The sequence below is a fragment of the Homo sapiens genome, chromosome 5 (assembly GCF_000001405.40).
Source record: "Homo sapiens chromosome 5, GRCh38.p14 Primary Assembly".
Lineage (NCBI taxonomy): Eukaryota > Metazoa > Chordata > Mammalia > Primates > Hominidae > Homo > Homo sapiens.
This window is the reverse complement of record NC_000005.10, coordinates 113,631,631-113,644,068: the sequence shown is the minus strand read 5'-3', so window position 1 is coordinate 113,644,068 and position 12,438 is coordinate 113,631,631. Positions and strand designations below refer to the sequence as shown.

The 12,438-nt window shown below is 38.7% G+C and overlaps 1 long non-coding RNA gene across 1 annotated transcript in view; it reads right to left on the bottom strand.

The window, feature by feature from the left end:
- The window catches only part of LOC107986441 (uncharacterized), a 62,022-nt gene extending 51,259 nt beyond the window's left edge, over positions 1-10,763 (bottom strand). Inside the window, exon 1 of the long non-coding RNA XR_001742841.1 lies at positions 10,705-10,763. This is a non-coding gene — a long non-coding RNA (uncharacterized LOC107986441). The remainder of the gene's footprint in view (positions 1-10,704) is intronic.
- Between the last annotated feature and the right edge of the window lie 1,675 nt (positions 10,764-12,438).

Below are 12,438 nucleotides of genomic sequence, written 5' to 3'. Positions count from 1 at the left end.
TGATAAATCCTCTTCCTCTGCCTTGGAGTTGTGCTTCTCAATTGCACGTAGTGGGAACCAGTGTTCTCATCCTGCAGAGGAGGCAGCAGTGGACCCCAAGGCCTTCATCCTGTCCTGCTAAAGCACCTATCGGTGCCTGTGCTGCCACCCATCAATCTCTGCAACGAGTGCTTCCTGTTTCCCCCCAGCTGTCAGTTATCCCATTGATGTCAGCTGAATTCAAAGGACGTTTTGCCCCCCAAGAAAACATCCTGACAGTCAGATGGTATCACTGACAACATTCATCAAACATTCAGAACCAGCTGAAATTATATCATATGAAGTAGGGAGGGAGGGGAGCAAGGGCCTCCCAATCCCTGCCTTCAGTGCTGACTGAGGATGGGAAGTGAAGGGTCCTAATGTTTAAGGGAGAGAATCTCTTGTTGTCCCTTTTACTCCTGTCCTCACACTGGATTCCACAAATGCCCTCAGGTTTTGAACCTGACCCTGTCTTTGAAGTATCACTGTCTTAGTCTGTTTTCTGCTGCTATCACAGAATGCCACTGGATAATTTGTAATGAATAGAAATTTCTTTGGCTTGTAGTTCTGAAGACTGGGAAGTCCAAGAGCATGGCACTGTCATCTGCCGAGAGTCATCTGATAGGGGCAGTAGAATGGCAAGTGAGCACATGAGAACAAGAGAAAAAGGGGTCCAAACCTCCACAATAACTAACCTACTCCTACAACAATGGCATTAATCCATTCATGAAGGCTTTGGTTCATTAGGTGACCTGATCACCTCTTAAAGGTCCCAGTCTTAATACTGTCACAATTGCAATCACATTTCAAACGGTTTGGAGGAAACATTTAAACCATAACAATCCACCCCTGCCCCCCACCCCCTGACAAAAAAAAAGTTGTGTCCTTCTCACATACAAAATACATTCATTCCATCACAATCATTCCAAAATTCTTGTTTCAGCGTCAGCTCAAAAGTCTAAAGTCTCATCTAAATCAGATAGGGGTGAGACTCAAGGCATGATTCATACTGAAGCAAATTTCCTTCATCTATGAAATCAAAACAAGTCATCTACTTCCAAAATACAAGAATAGGATAAGCATAGGATAGACATTCCCATTCCAAAAGGGAGAAAAATGCAAGATGACAGAAGTAATAGGTCCCAAATGAGTCCAAAACCCAAAAAGAAAATCAACATTAAGTTTTAAAGCTCCAGAATAATCTCCTTCGATTGCACATTCTGCATCCTAGGCATCCTGGGGAGTAGCTGGGCTCCCAAAGCCTTGGGCAGCCTGGGCAACCCTGCTCCTATGGCTTTGGTGGTCTCAGTCCACACTTGAGCTCTCTAAGGTTGGAGTCTTGTGCCTGTGGCTGTCCCAGGCTGGAGTTGGACACTGGTGGCCCTAGAGCTCTGAGGTCTCAGTGGCAGTCCCATTCCCAAGGCTTCACTAGGCATTACCCTATTAGGGATGCTTTGTGGCAGCTCCATCCCTGGGCAAGTTTCTGCATGGACCCCCACACTATCTGTGACATCTTTTATAATCTGGGTGGAGGTAGCCAGCCCCTTATGTCTCTTACATCCTAAGACCTTTCAGATTTAACGCCACATGGATGCCACCAAGACTCACCACTTGTGCCATCCAGAGTGGCAGCCTGAGCCACACCTGGGCCCTCTTGAGTCATGGCTGGGGTGGCTGAAGGGTGCTGTGCTGAAATGCAGAATCACAGTCCCAAGGAGGCCCTGGGCAGTGAGCTCATGGATGCTCCAGGCCCATTCCTTGAAATCTTCTTGTCCTCCTAGAGCTCTGGGCCTGTGATGGGAGGAGCAGCCTCAAAGATCTCTGAAATAACTTTGGGTTGTTTCTCCCATTGTCTTGCTGAATGACACCTGGCTTCCTTCTGTCTGTGCTAACCTCTTTAGCAAATGTTTGCTTGGCCACACCCTTAGTATTCTCTCCTAACCATGCTTTTTTTACTCTTTACCTGGCCAGGCTGTAAATTTTCCATATTTTTCTGATCTGCTTCTTTTCTAATTATAAATTCCATCTTTAAGTTATTTATGTCCTCTCACATCTGTGTGTGGTTAAAAGTAGCCACACAACAGCCTGAATGCTTTGCTGTTTAGATATTTCTTCTGCCAGATATCCTAGTTCATTGCTCTTAAGGTCTGCATTCCATAAAGCCCTAAAGGCATGGACACAATTCAGCCAAGTTATTTGCAACTATATTACAAGGATGGCCTTGACTCCAGTTTCCAATACCTTGTTTCTCATTTTTGTCTAAGACCTCATCAGAATGAGCTTTACTGTCTATATTTCTACCAACATTCTGACCAGGACCACATGAGTGATTCCTAAGAAAATTTAGACTGTCTTTAGTTCTGGGGTCTTCTAATCTCTCACCAGAATTGCTCTGAACACTAACACTTCATTCATGACAATCTAGGTTTTTTTCTAGCCTGCTCCTCCAAATTCTTCCAGCCTCTACTCATTACACAGTTCCAAAGTTAATTATATATTTTTAGGTATTTGTTATAGCAACAGCCCCACTTCTCCATACCAATTTTTTGTCTTAGGGTTCTTTAGAGAGACAGAACCAATTGAAGAAGGAGAGAGACAGAGGTGAGCAGGTATTTATTAGGGGAATTGGCTCCTACAATTATGGAGGCTGAAAAGTCCCATGACAGCTGTCTGCAAGCAAGAGACTCTGAGATGCTGGTAGCATGGCTCAGTCCAAATCCAAATGCCTGGGTATCCAGGAGGCTACCCAAGTCCTGGACTGCAAAGGCCAGACAGCCTGGAGTTCTGACACCCCAAGGCAGAATAAGAAATGTGTATCCCAGCTCCAGAAGAGAGACCAATTGCTTTTCCTCTGTTTTTGTTCTATCTTGGTCTACATTAAGAGTAGACCTTCCCCACTTAATCCAATCAAACTCACACACCAGTCTCCTCTGGAAATACAATCACAGACACACCCAAAAATAATGCTTTACAAGTTCTCTAGGTATTCCTTAATCCAGTCACACTTAAATCAACTTCACACCTAAAATTAACCATCACAATAATGCCTCATACATGCCTTTTTGTATAATCATCTGAAGTAAGGGTTAAAAACTGAAGCAGTAAGTCATCTCACTTGGCAGCTGTTAGAAAAACTTTCTGTCTGGAGTTGGGATGGGTCTACAAACATATGTTATGGTCCAGTCATCTGGATTCATATGCCTGATCTTGACCTTGGCCCCTCTGTTAACATCTTATCTGGATGGGTGACTTAGAATTTCACTTTGGGGATGTCATAAAATCTTATTATATGCATCCACACACCCAGCTGTTTTTTCTTAGGGATTTTAAAGCAGCTTGTAAATTTCAAAGAGGAGTTAACAGTTGCAAACTTTTTAGCTGAATCAATGTATTAAAAAGACTTTTTGACAAGGGTAGATGAGTCCTGGTGTCTTTGCAGAATTTGTCCTTTTCAAAAGTATCTGCATTTTTCCAGTGCTTGGGATGACAAATTCTCAGATGTGAGACCTTTTGTGGGAGATCGAAGGAAAGAGACAAAACAAAAACAAACAAACAAAAAATCTAAATTGGAAAAGAAAACCATTTGAGATTTGTTCAGCTCAATCTTGAAATAAACCATTCAGTAAAGCCTGAATTTTCTCTAAGCATTTGGCAGCAATATTAGCCACAAATTGTTTACACTATCAATTAATTTCCCATTGGAACTTTGAGGGGATAAAAACACTAAGAATGTAATGAAATAATATATGTGCAAGCACCTAGATCAGTGTCTGGTATGATGTTGGTGCTTAGTTGAATTTGAAAAATAGTAATAACTACTTTCACTAAACCAGTTATAAACCATTTTTCTGTACTTGATAGTGGTGTTACCTGGGGATGTTAATTTGGTTTTTTATCTGTTTATTGCTTCATCTGCTTCTGGGTGCTCAGTTCATAAGAGTGGATCAGGCCCAAATATACTTAACTCCTACTTGAGCAAGGGGAGGCATACATGGGTTCCTACACCTAACCAGCAGGAAGTGAACTTAAGGGATTTACCTCGATTATTTTCTAAACTCCAAAAATGGTAATGCTTCACAAATAGGACAAGTCTAAGATTAGGCAACAGGATGAAAAAATTATAATATGAATCCACTCTTCCTTCTATAGGGCTTCCTCCCCCAGTCCTATTCATAATAGGATTAAAAATGATCAAAAGCACAGTAGGCCCCATAAAAACATGACAAACTTACATTACTAATTTAGGGAGTGTATTAGTCCATTTTCACACTGCTGTGAAGAAATACCTGAGACTGGGTAATTTATAAAGAAAAGAGGTTTAATTGACTCACAGTTCCGCATTGCTGGGGAGGCCTCAGGAAACTTACAAAAATGGCAGAAAGCACCTTTTCACAGGAAAGAGAACGAGAACCAGCAGAGGAAATGCCAGACACTTATAAAACCATCAAATCTCATGAGAACTCATTCACTATCATGAGAACAGCATGGAGGAACCACCCCATGATTCAATTACATCCCACCAGGTCCATCCCATGATACATGGGGATTATGGGGATTACAATTCAAGATGAGATTTGGGTTGGAACACAGCCAACTCATATTGGGAGATACCCGTGACCTCTTTTCACACCACTCACACTCTCAGTGCCACCCTTGGAAAGAGAATTGACAGAGCAAAACAGCTATATTGATAAAGGTTTGTTTTTTTCTAAGGATTAACCCTTAAATGGCAGGGCTTAGTTTTATCAGTCCTAAATTGAAAAAGCTTCCCAAGCAGATTTTGAATTTCTCCTTATTCATAACTCGCTCAGCTTAATGGTATATTTCTTGTGTTCCCCAGACTGCCTGAGTTTTTATTTTCTATTTAGTCTTAGCCTTTTTCTTCGAAACAGGTTTTATTTACATTGTGCTTTCAGCATGATTATTTACTTTTCTTAATATTATATCCTAAAACACTGTTGTCCTAGATTTTACTGCACCCTGGAGTCCATTTTTATGCTTTAAAGGTGATTAGATGGTTTATTTCATTTGCTTGCTTTTGTTTACTGATTTTAACTTTAGTGAAAATGAAGTCCAACATTAGAGTATGCTTTATGAGATAACCTGGGGTCTTCTCATTATCCACATTCTTACTTCAGAAGCCTTTATAATTACCCCAGAGAGTGTACAGGCAGAGAAGAGGTAAACTGCAATGAAGTCATCACTTGTACAGCATTTATAGAGAAGAGAGAGACATTTGACTATGTTCAGATATTCTCTCTTGCTCACCAAAAGACCACTCATTTTCTAGATGTAAGTTATCTTGTTTATCCTAAAATTGTGTTCTCCCCTTCTCAGAAGCATTTTAAGAAGCAATTAGATTTGTCTAGGGACTCTGGGTGTGTGTTGGGGTATGCATTCAACACTTAGGAAGTTACAACTCTGCCTTAGTCTTCACTTCCTGCTTATACAGTGCCTCAAGGTCAACCAAACTGAGGCCCTCTCTGTTGCTCTGGTGTTTCCTGGGTATTTACAAAGCCCTGCACATCCACATGGCCTTCTAGATTCTAAAGAATATGTCAAAACTTTTCAAAGTCTCTTATGCACCTCTCATTTCCCAGATTTTCCTCTTACATATCTGGCCAGGCTTGTTTGCCCCAACTGGTAGCCCAGCTTCAGGCAGCTGAAATATTAAAGAATTTCCATAGATTGCTCTCGACAAATGCCTTGGGGATAGATCTTTTCCCAGAGATCAAGTTCTGAGTCAGGTTAGATAGTGACGACAACAGTCTTCTCACTAATTGTGTTTTGTTTTGAAATATATAGTTATTTTTCATAAAAGTATATTATTTGTCTTAAAATATAATTAGTAATTTTTAAATGAAGTAATATGAAATAATAACATTATCTTTTGTTTTCTCAGTTTTAATCTGTAATACTTTAAATACTGATAGACATAATACACATAAACCAAATCTCTTTAAGGTCCTCAATGAGTGTAAAGGAGTTCTTAGATCAAAAAGTTAGAAGACTACTGGTTTATTTTAAGTTCAAAGGATTTTTTTCTCTAACACTTTGAAGATGCTACTTCATTGTGATCTTGCATCTCATATCATTAAAGAGAAGTTTGACATTAATTTTATTCTTGCTCCTTTATTGGTGATCTGTTCCTTCCCTCAAAAGCTTTTAGAATTCTCTTTGGTTCTTAGTTGTTTCTACATTTTATTGCAGTATATCTAAGTGTAAGTTTATTTTTATCTATACTGTTTTGTAATCTATAGATTGCTTCTACTTCCTCTTATTCTGGAAATTTCTCTATTATTATTTCTTAAAATATTGATACTTCTTTGCTTATTTTTTCCTCTCCTCTAGAGTCCTCTATTCGACAGATGTTAAGACTGTTCCTACTCCCCATATTTCTTTATTATTTGTTTATATATATATTTTTTTTTTGAGATGGAGTCTCACTCTGTCTCCCAAGCTGGAGGGCAGTGGCACAATCTTGGCTCACTGCAACCTCCACTTCTGGGGTTCAAGCAATTCTCTGCCCCAGCCTCCTGAGTAGCTGGGATTACAGGCACTCACCACCAAGCCCAGCTAATTTTTTTGTATTTTTAGTAGAGACGGGGTTTCACCATCTTGGCCAGACTGGCCTTGAACTCCTGACCTCGTGATCCACCCACCTGGACCTCCCAAAGTGCTGGGATTACATGCATGAGCCACCACGCCTGGCCTTATTTGTTCATATTTCTATCCTTTTTTTCTCCTCCTAGTCATTAAGAACACCTCATGGTAATCATTTAGAGTTCTAGTTCATTCTTTTTATTCAATATTTCTTTTTATTCAATTATTTCTAATATTTTTTGTTGTAAAATACAACAAACACAGAGAAAATGCATAAAATATAAGTATCTAGCTGAACAAAGTATTTTAGAGTGAATACTAATACAATCACCATCAGGGCTGACTTCATGGGCATGCAGTCACACAGGAACCCACACTTAGAAGGGTCTCATGCTTGGTTTACTCCTCTGCTGTCTCTGTGTTGAGATTTTTAAATATTTTTAAGCCAGGGGCCCTACATTTTTATTTCACACAGGCCCCACAAATTATGTGGCCCATCCTAATCACCATTCATGTCAAGAAACAAAAAGTTTGTCACACTTCAGATGCTCCTGACATGTTACTTACTAATTACAATCTCTTCCCTCCCACAGAAGTAATACCTATCCTGACTTTTATGGTAGCCATTTCATTGCTTTTTATATTGTTAAAACGTGTGTATGATCCTAAATACTACTGTTTCATTTTCCCTGCCTTAGGAAATACCTCACATTGTGGCACATTAATAAAGTGGATGTATTAGGGTGCTCCAGAGGGACAGAACCAATAGGATATATGTATAAATAAAAGCGAGTTTATTAAAGAGAACTGGGTCACACAATTATAAGGCAAAGTCCAATGAAAGGCCGTCTGCAAACTGGGACAAGAGAAGCCAGTAGTGGCTCAGTCTAAGTCCAAAAGCCTAAAAAACAGCAAAGCTAACAATGCAGGCTTCAGTCTGCAGCTGAAGGCCCAAGAGCCCCTGGGAAGCTGCTGGTGAAAGTCCCAGGGTCCAAAGCAAAAAGAACCTGGGGTCTGATGTACAGGGGCAAGAGAAGCGGAAGCAAGCATCCGACACAGGAAGAAGAAAAAGAGCCAGAAGCTTCAGCAACCAAACTTAACCACCTTCTGCCTGCTTTGTTCTAGCGGCACTGGCAGCCGATTGGATGGTGCCCACCCACATTGAGGGCAGGTCTTCCTCTCCCAGTCCGCTGACTCACATATCACTCTCCTCTGGCAACACCCTTACAGACACACCCAAAAACAATCCTGTATCAGGCATCTAGGCATCCCTCAATCCAGTCAAGTTGACACCTAATATTAACCATCACAGTGGAACATACTGAAGTAATTACAATTTTAACTATGAAAATTACATAAAAGGGAAATAGGGAATTCTCTGTTCCTGACAAGATGGCTAATTATAATAGGCTCTGACTTCCTTCCCAACCCAACCCTGAAGATGAAACATAGAAAACAGCCATAAAATTAAACTAGGGAATGAGTATTAACAAGGGGCGGGAGAAGCTACAATATGACAGACACCAAGCTACAATGGTGCGCCAAATAGACAGGGTTCCTGCACAGATATTGAACAAATGATCACACAACGTATATGTGTGATAAATGTTGAAGGAAAAAGAACCCAGTGCAATAAAAGCACAGAATGAGTATTTCACTGAGCCCGAAGTGTCTAAGAAAGCTTCCCGGGGTAACTTTTGCTCTGAGGTCTGAAAGATGAATAGAAGTGAACTGAAGTGAGCCCTGTTGTGAGACGGCACATTACAGCTGAAGAATTCTAAGAAGACATATGTGGCCAATGAAGAGGAGATGGCAGATCAACCTGGAGGAATAAGCAGGGCCAACGCAAACAGGCTTTATCCCAACAGCAATGATTTTAACTAGGTCTGTTGATGTGATCCAATTTGGTTTTAAACTGTCGCTAGAGTTAACAGAGAATTGATTGGAAAGGGAGAATGGAAATACAAAGACCAATTAAATGGCTACTGCAGTCATCCAGGTGACATACGCTGATGACTTGTTTAAGGCAGTGGCAGTTAAGATGAAGAGAAACAGATCAATTTGAAAGATATTAAGAAGTAAACTAGTCAGTTGTGATAGTGTGACTTGAAGTACAAGGATACATTCAGAGTAAGAATAATCCTCCAGTTCCTGGCTTAGTCACCTGAGCGATTAGTGGTGCCATTTGCTGAGTTGAGAAACACAAAAGGAGAACACATGGGGGTGGGAGGTCCAAACAATGAGCTCGATTCTGTTTTAGACATGGCAATTTAAGTTTCCTTTAAGACACCTGCTTTGAGATGCTGAGTAGACAATGTGGACCTCAAACCTTTCACATGATCAGTCAGTGGGTGAGAGAGTAGACACAGCTGGTAATCTGTATACATTAAAAATCATAGAAATAGAAAGAGAAATCACCCACTGACAAAGATTTTCAATAAGATTTTTACCTCAAACCAACTTTTCATCCTCGTAGGATACAAAAAACAAAAATTACCTAAATTTCACAAAACATTTCTGATCACACTTAGGAGCTTAGTAGGGAAAAAAAAGGAAAGAAAAGGCTGAAAAACAATATTCTCTTCATATATAACTTTCTTTCTTCTTTCTCCATTTTCCAAGGGAAGTAATGATGCTAGAGGTGCTATTCTCACTGGACAGCCCTATTCTGAGGCCATGACTCTAGTCTGAAGCACATGACAACCTATAATCTCTGATAAAGATTTCCAATCTCTGGACATTAAATAATAATAACAATACTTTTAATGAAAAACAACTTGCAGGAGCCCTTTGAAAAGCACTGTATGGATTCTTAGCTTTTATTATTGGGTGACTACAACTGTATTGAACATTAGGTAACTTATTGAGAATGATGAGGACATTGTACACAGAGATCTTTCTTACTAAACGAGAGTAATTACTGGAATATTGAATATGACTTTCTACTACAAGTTTTTCAAAGGCAATATGCGCATCACTTTTCCTTTAAAGGCTGCAGGTATAATTCTGTGTGAATTTCACATTTAAACACTAATTATTAATAATTCAAGAGTTTCCCAGATCACTATATAATAAAGCATAACGTTCATAGCATCAACCATCGGTGTTTAAAAGAAGGGCACTCTTGAGGGGGTGGGGGTAATCTATCTAAAGTTCTAGTGTGTTAGCCAAGGTCAAGTCAGCCTTCAAGCTTTTCTTTTGTTCTACAGCATGTCACTTATTGAAACACATATTTCTTACTTGTTATTTTTCTCCTTTCATGACACATTAAATTCTCTTAGCACCAATTATTAATTTATTAATTATCACCAAGTTAAAACCTGTTAAGAATGCCCAGAGGATGTGTACAGTAGGTTCACAGCCGTAGATCCAATGGAGTTTAAAAACCCATTGCCAATGAATTAGGGAGACTTTCATATGCTCAAGGACCATTATTTGAACCAAAAATAAAATTTCTAATTATTTTCATTCATCAAAATGTCCCACAGAATTCTATGCTGTGCTAATTTTAAGATTATAGAGTAATGTAACAGATGTCATGGATTAAATCCTTCAAACAAGGAGGTATTCTTTTTGGAATATCCTATTTCCTTGCTTATGAGCTCTTATCATTGAATAAAAAACATCAGGATATTACTGAGGGCATTCTCTGCCCCAGACTCTGAACCAGATATTTTCCATGATATCTTGTTTAGTCCTCACGACAACCTTATGAAGTGCATATTATCTGCATTTTGCAAAGGCAAAACTAGAACATATTTCAAAACTTTCCCAAGTCACACAGATAAATAAATAGAAGAACCGTAAGTTAGAACCCTGTATTTGGTCTACAGAACTTCTGTAGGAATAATGGTAAGGAAGAGCTGGTAACCTGTGTAAGAAGTAAGAAATAGCTGGTAACTTGAGAAAGAAGTAAGAAAGGTACATGTGAAGATAATATAGTTTTTCAGCCTTTTCTTTCCATTTTCTTTTTCCTACTAAACTCCTAAGTGTGATCAGGACAGTTTTGTGAAATGTAGGTAATTTTGTTTTCTGTATCCTAAGAGGATACAGAAATCCTAGAAGTAAAAAAAGAGAACTCACCCACTGACAAAGATTTTCAATGAGATTTTTACCTCCAGCCAATTCTTCATCCTGTCAGAATACAGAAAACAGAAGTTGCCTTTTTTCACCAGTTCCTTTTCCTACTTAGTATAAAAATTGTTTAGCTTGCAAGAACTAATGCTACAAAGATCTAACATTAACTATAGGGAAACAATAATCAGAGTTGGAGAAACTGGCATGTGAGCAAGTGACTTCAGAATATTTCCTTTCTTCCTCTTTCTTTATGTCCAAACCAGGAATCAGACATTTCCTCAAAGCATGATAGCATTGAATAGTACCATATTTTCATAATTATTAAAACTTTCTTTTTTGGTCATTTTACTGTCAAAACTACTTGCTTTAAAATACCTCTGCCACAATCTCCATTTTGCCTTCCTTAAAGTTTTTCACTTTTTAATTTTTTTTTATTTTCCATAGAAACCTTAGCTCCCCTGTCTATTACATAAATTTGAATACCTTGAGATATTAACTGTAGATTTAAACATGGTGAGCCCTGAAAGAATTCAATTAGGTAGGAAGCCCCAGAATATATTTTATGCTCTTTAGGAATACTAATCATGTATGTTAGATCTTTGTAACCAATCTTTGTAGCAGTATCTATCATTTCTCTAATTGCTCTCATCTTTTTATTTTTTACTTTATCCTCTATGATTTTTTCAATTCTATTTCATGTCATGGTCTCTGTTTTCAGCTGTGTTGATTTTAAAATTTTGTGCTACTGCTGATTCCGTTTTTATTCATTTGTTTCTTGTTTTTTTTTTTTTTTTTAGATGAAGTCTCACCTTTTCGTCCAGGCTGGAGTGCAGTGGCACAATCTTGGCTCACTGCAACCTCCGTCTCCCCAGTTCAAGCGATTCTCCTGACTCAGCCTCCCGAGTAGCTGGGATTACAGGTGGGCACCACCACACCCAGCTAATTTTTCTATTTTTAGTAGAGATGGGATTTCACGATGTTGGCCAGGCTGGTCACGAACTCCTGACCTCAGGCAATCTGCCCACCTCGGCCTCTCAAAGTGCTGGGATTACAGGCGTGAGCCACCAGGCCTGGCCTGTTACTCATTTTTTTACATTACCTCTGCTCCCTTTCTATTTTTTTCTGTTGTCTGAGCATTGCTCATTTGACTTTTTGTAACTTCTTCTTCAATTGTTTCATATATTTAAGTGTATTCTTTTACCTCCAATTTTTAAAATTATGGCCAGCATAAAAACAATACAAAAAATAGTACAACAAACACCCATATCCATTACCTAGATTCAAAAATTATTTGCATTTTGCCATATTCTTTCTACTTTCTTTGCTTTAACCATTTAAAAATAAGATGCAGACATCATAACACTTCACCCCTAAATACGTTAGCAACTTCTAAGAAAAATGACATTATCTTTACATAACCACAATACCATTACCATATCTTAAAATAAATAATAATTTTCTACTATTATATAAGGCCCATTTATATTCACATTTTTACAATTATCTAAAAAAACTGTCTCATATTTGCTTTTCTCAAACCAGGATTTAATCAAGTGCCATGCATTACATTTGATTGTTACATTTTTCCAGACTCTTTTATCGAGAAAAGTATCTATTTTTTGTCCCATGGCACTGACTTCTGAAGAAAAATGACCAGTTATCTTACAGAATGTCGATTATTTTCTTGTGGTATCATTTAACTTCTGCTATTCCTTTATTTCCTAAGTTAAATCATCCTTG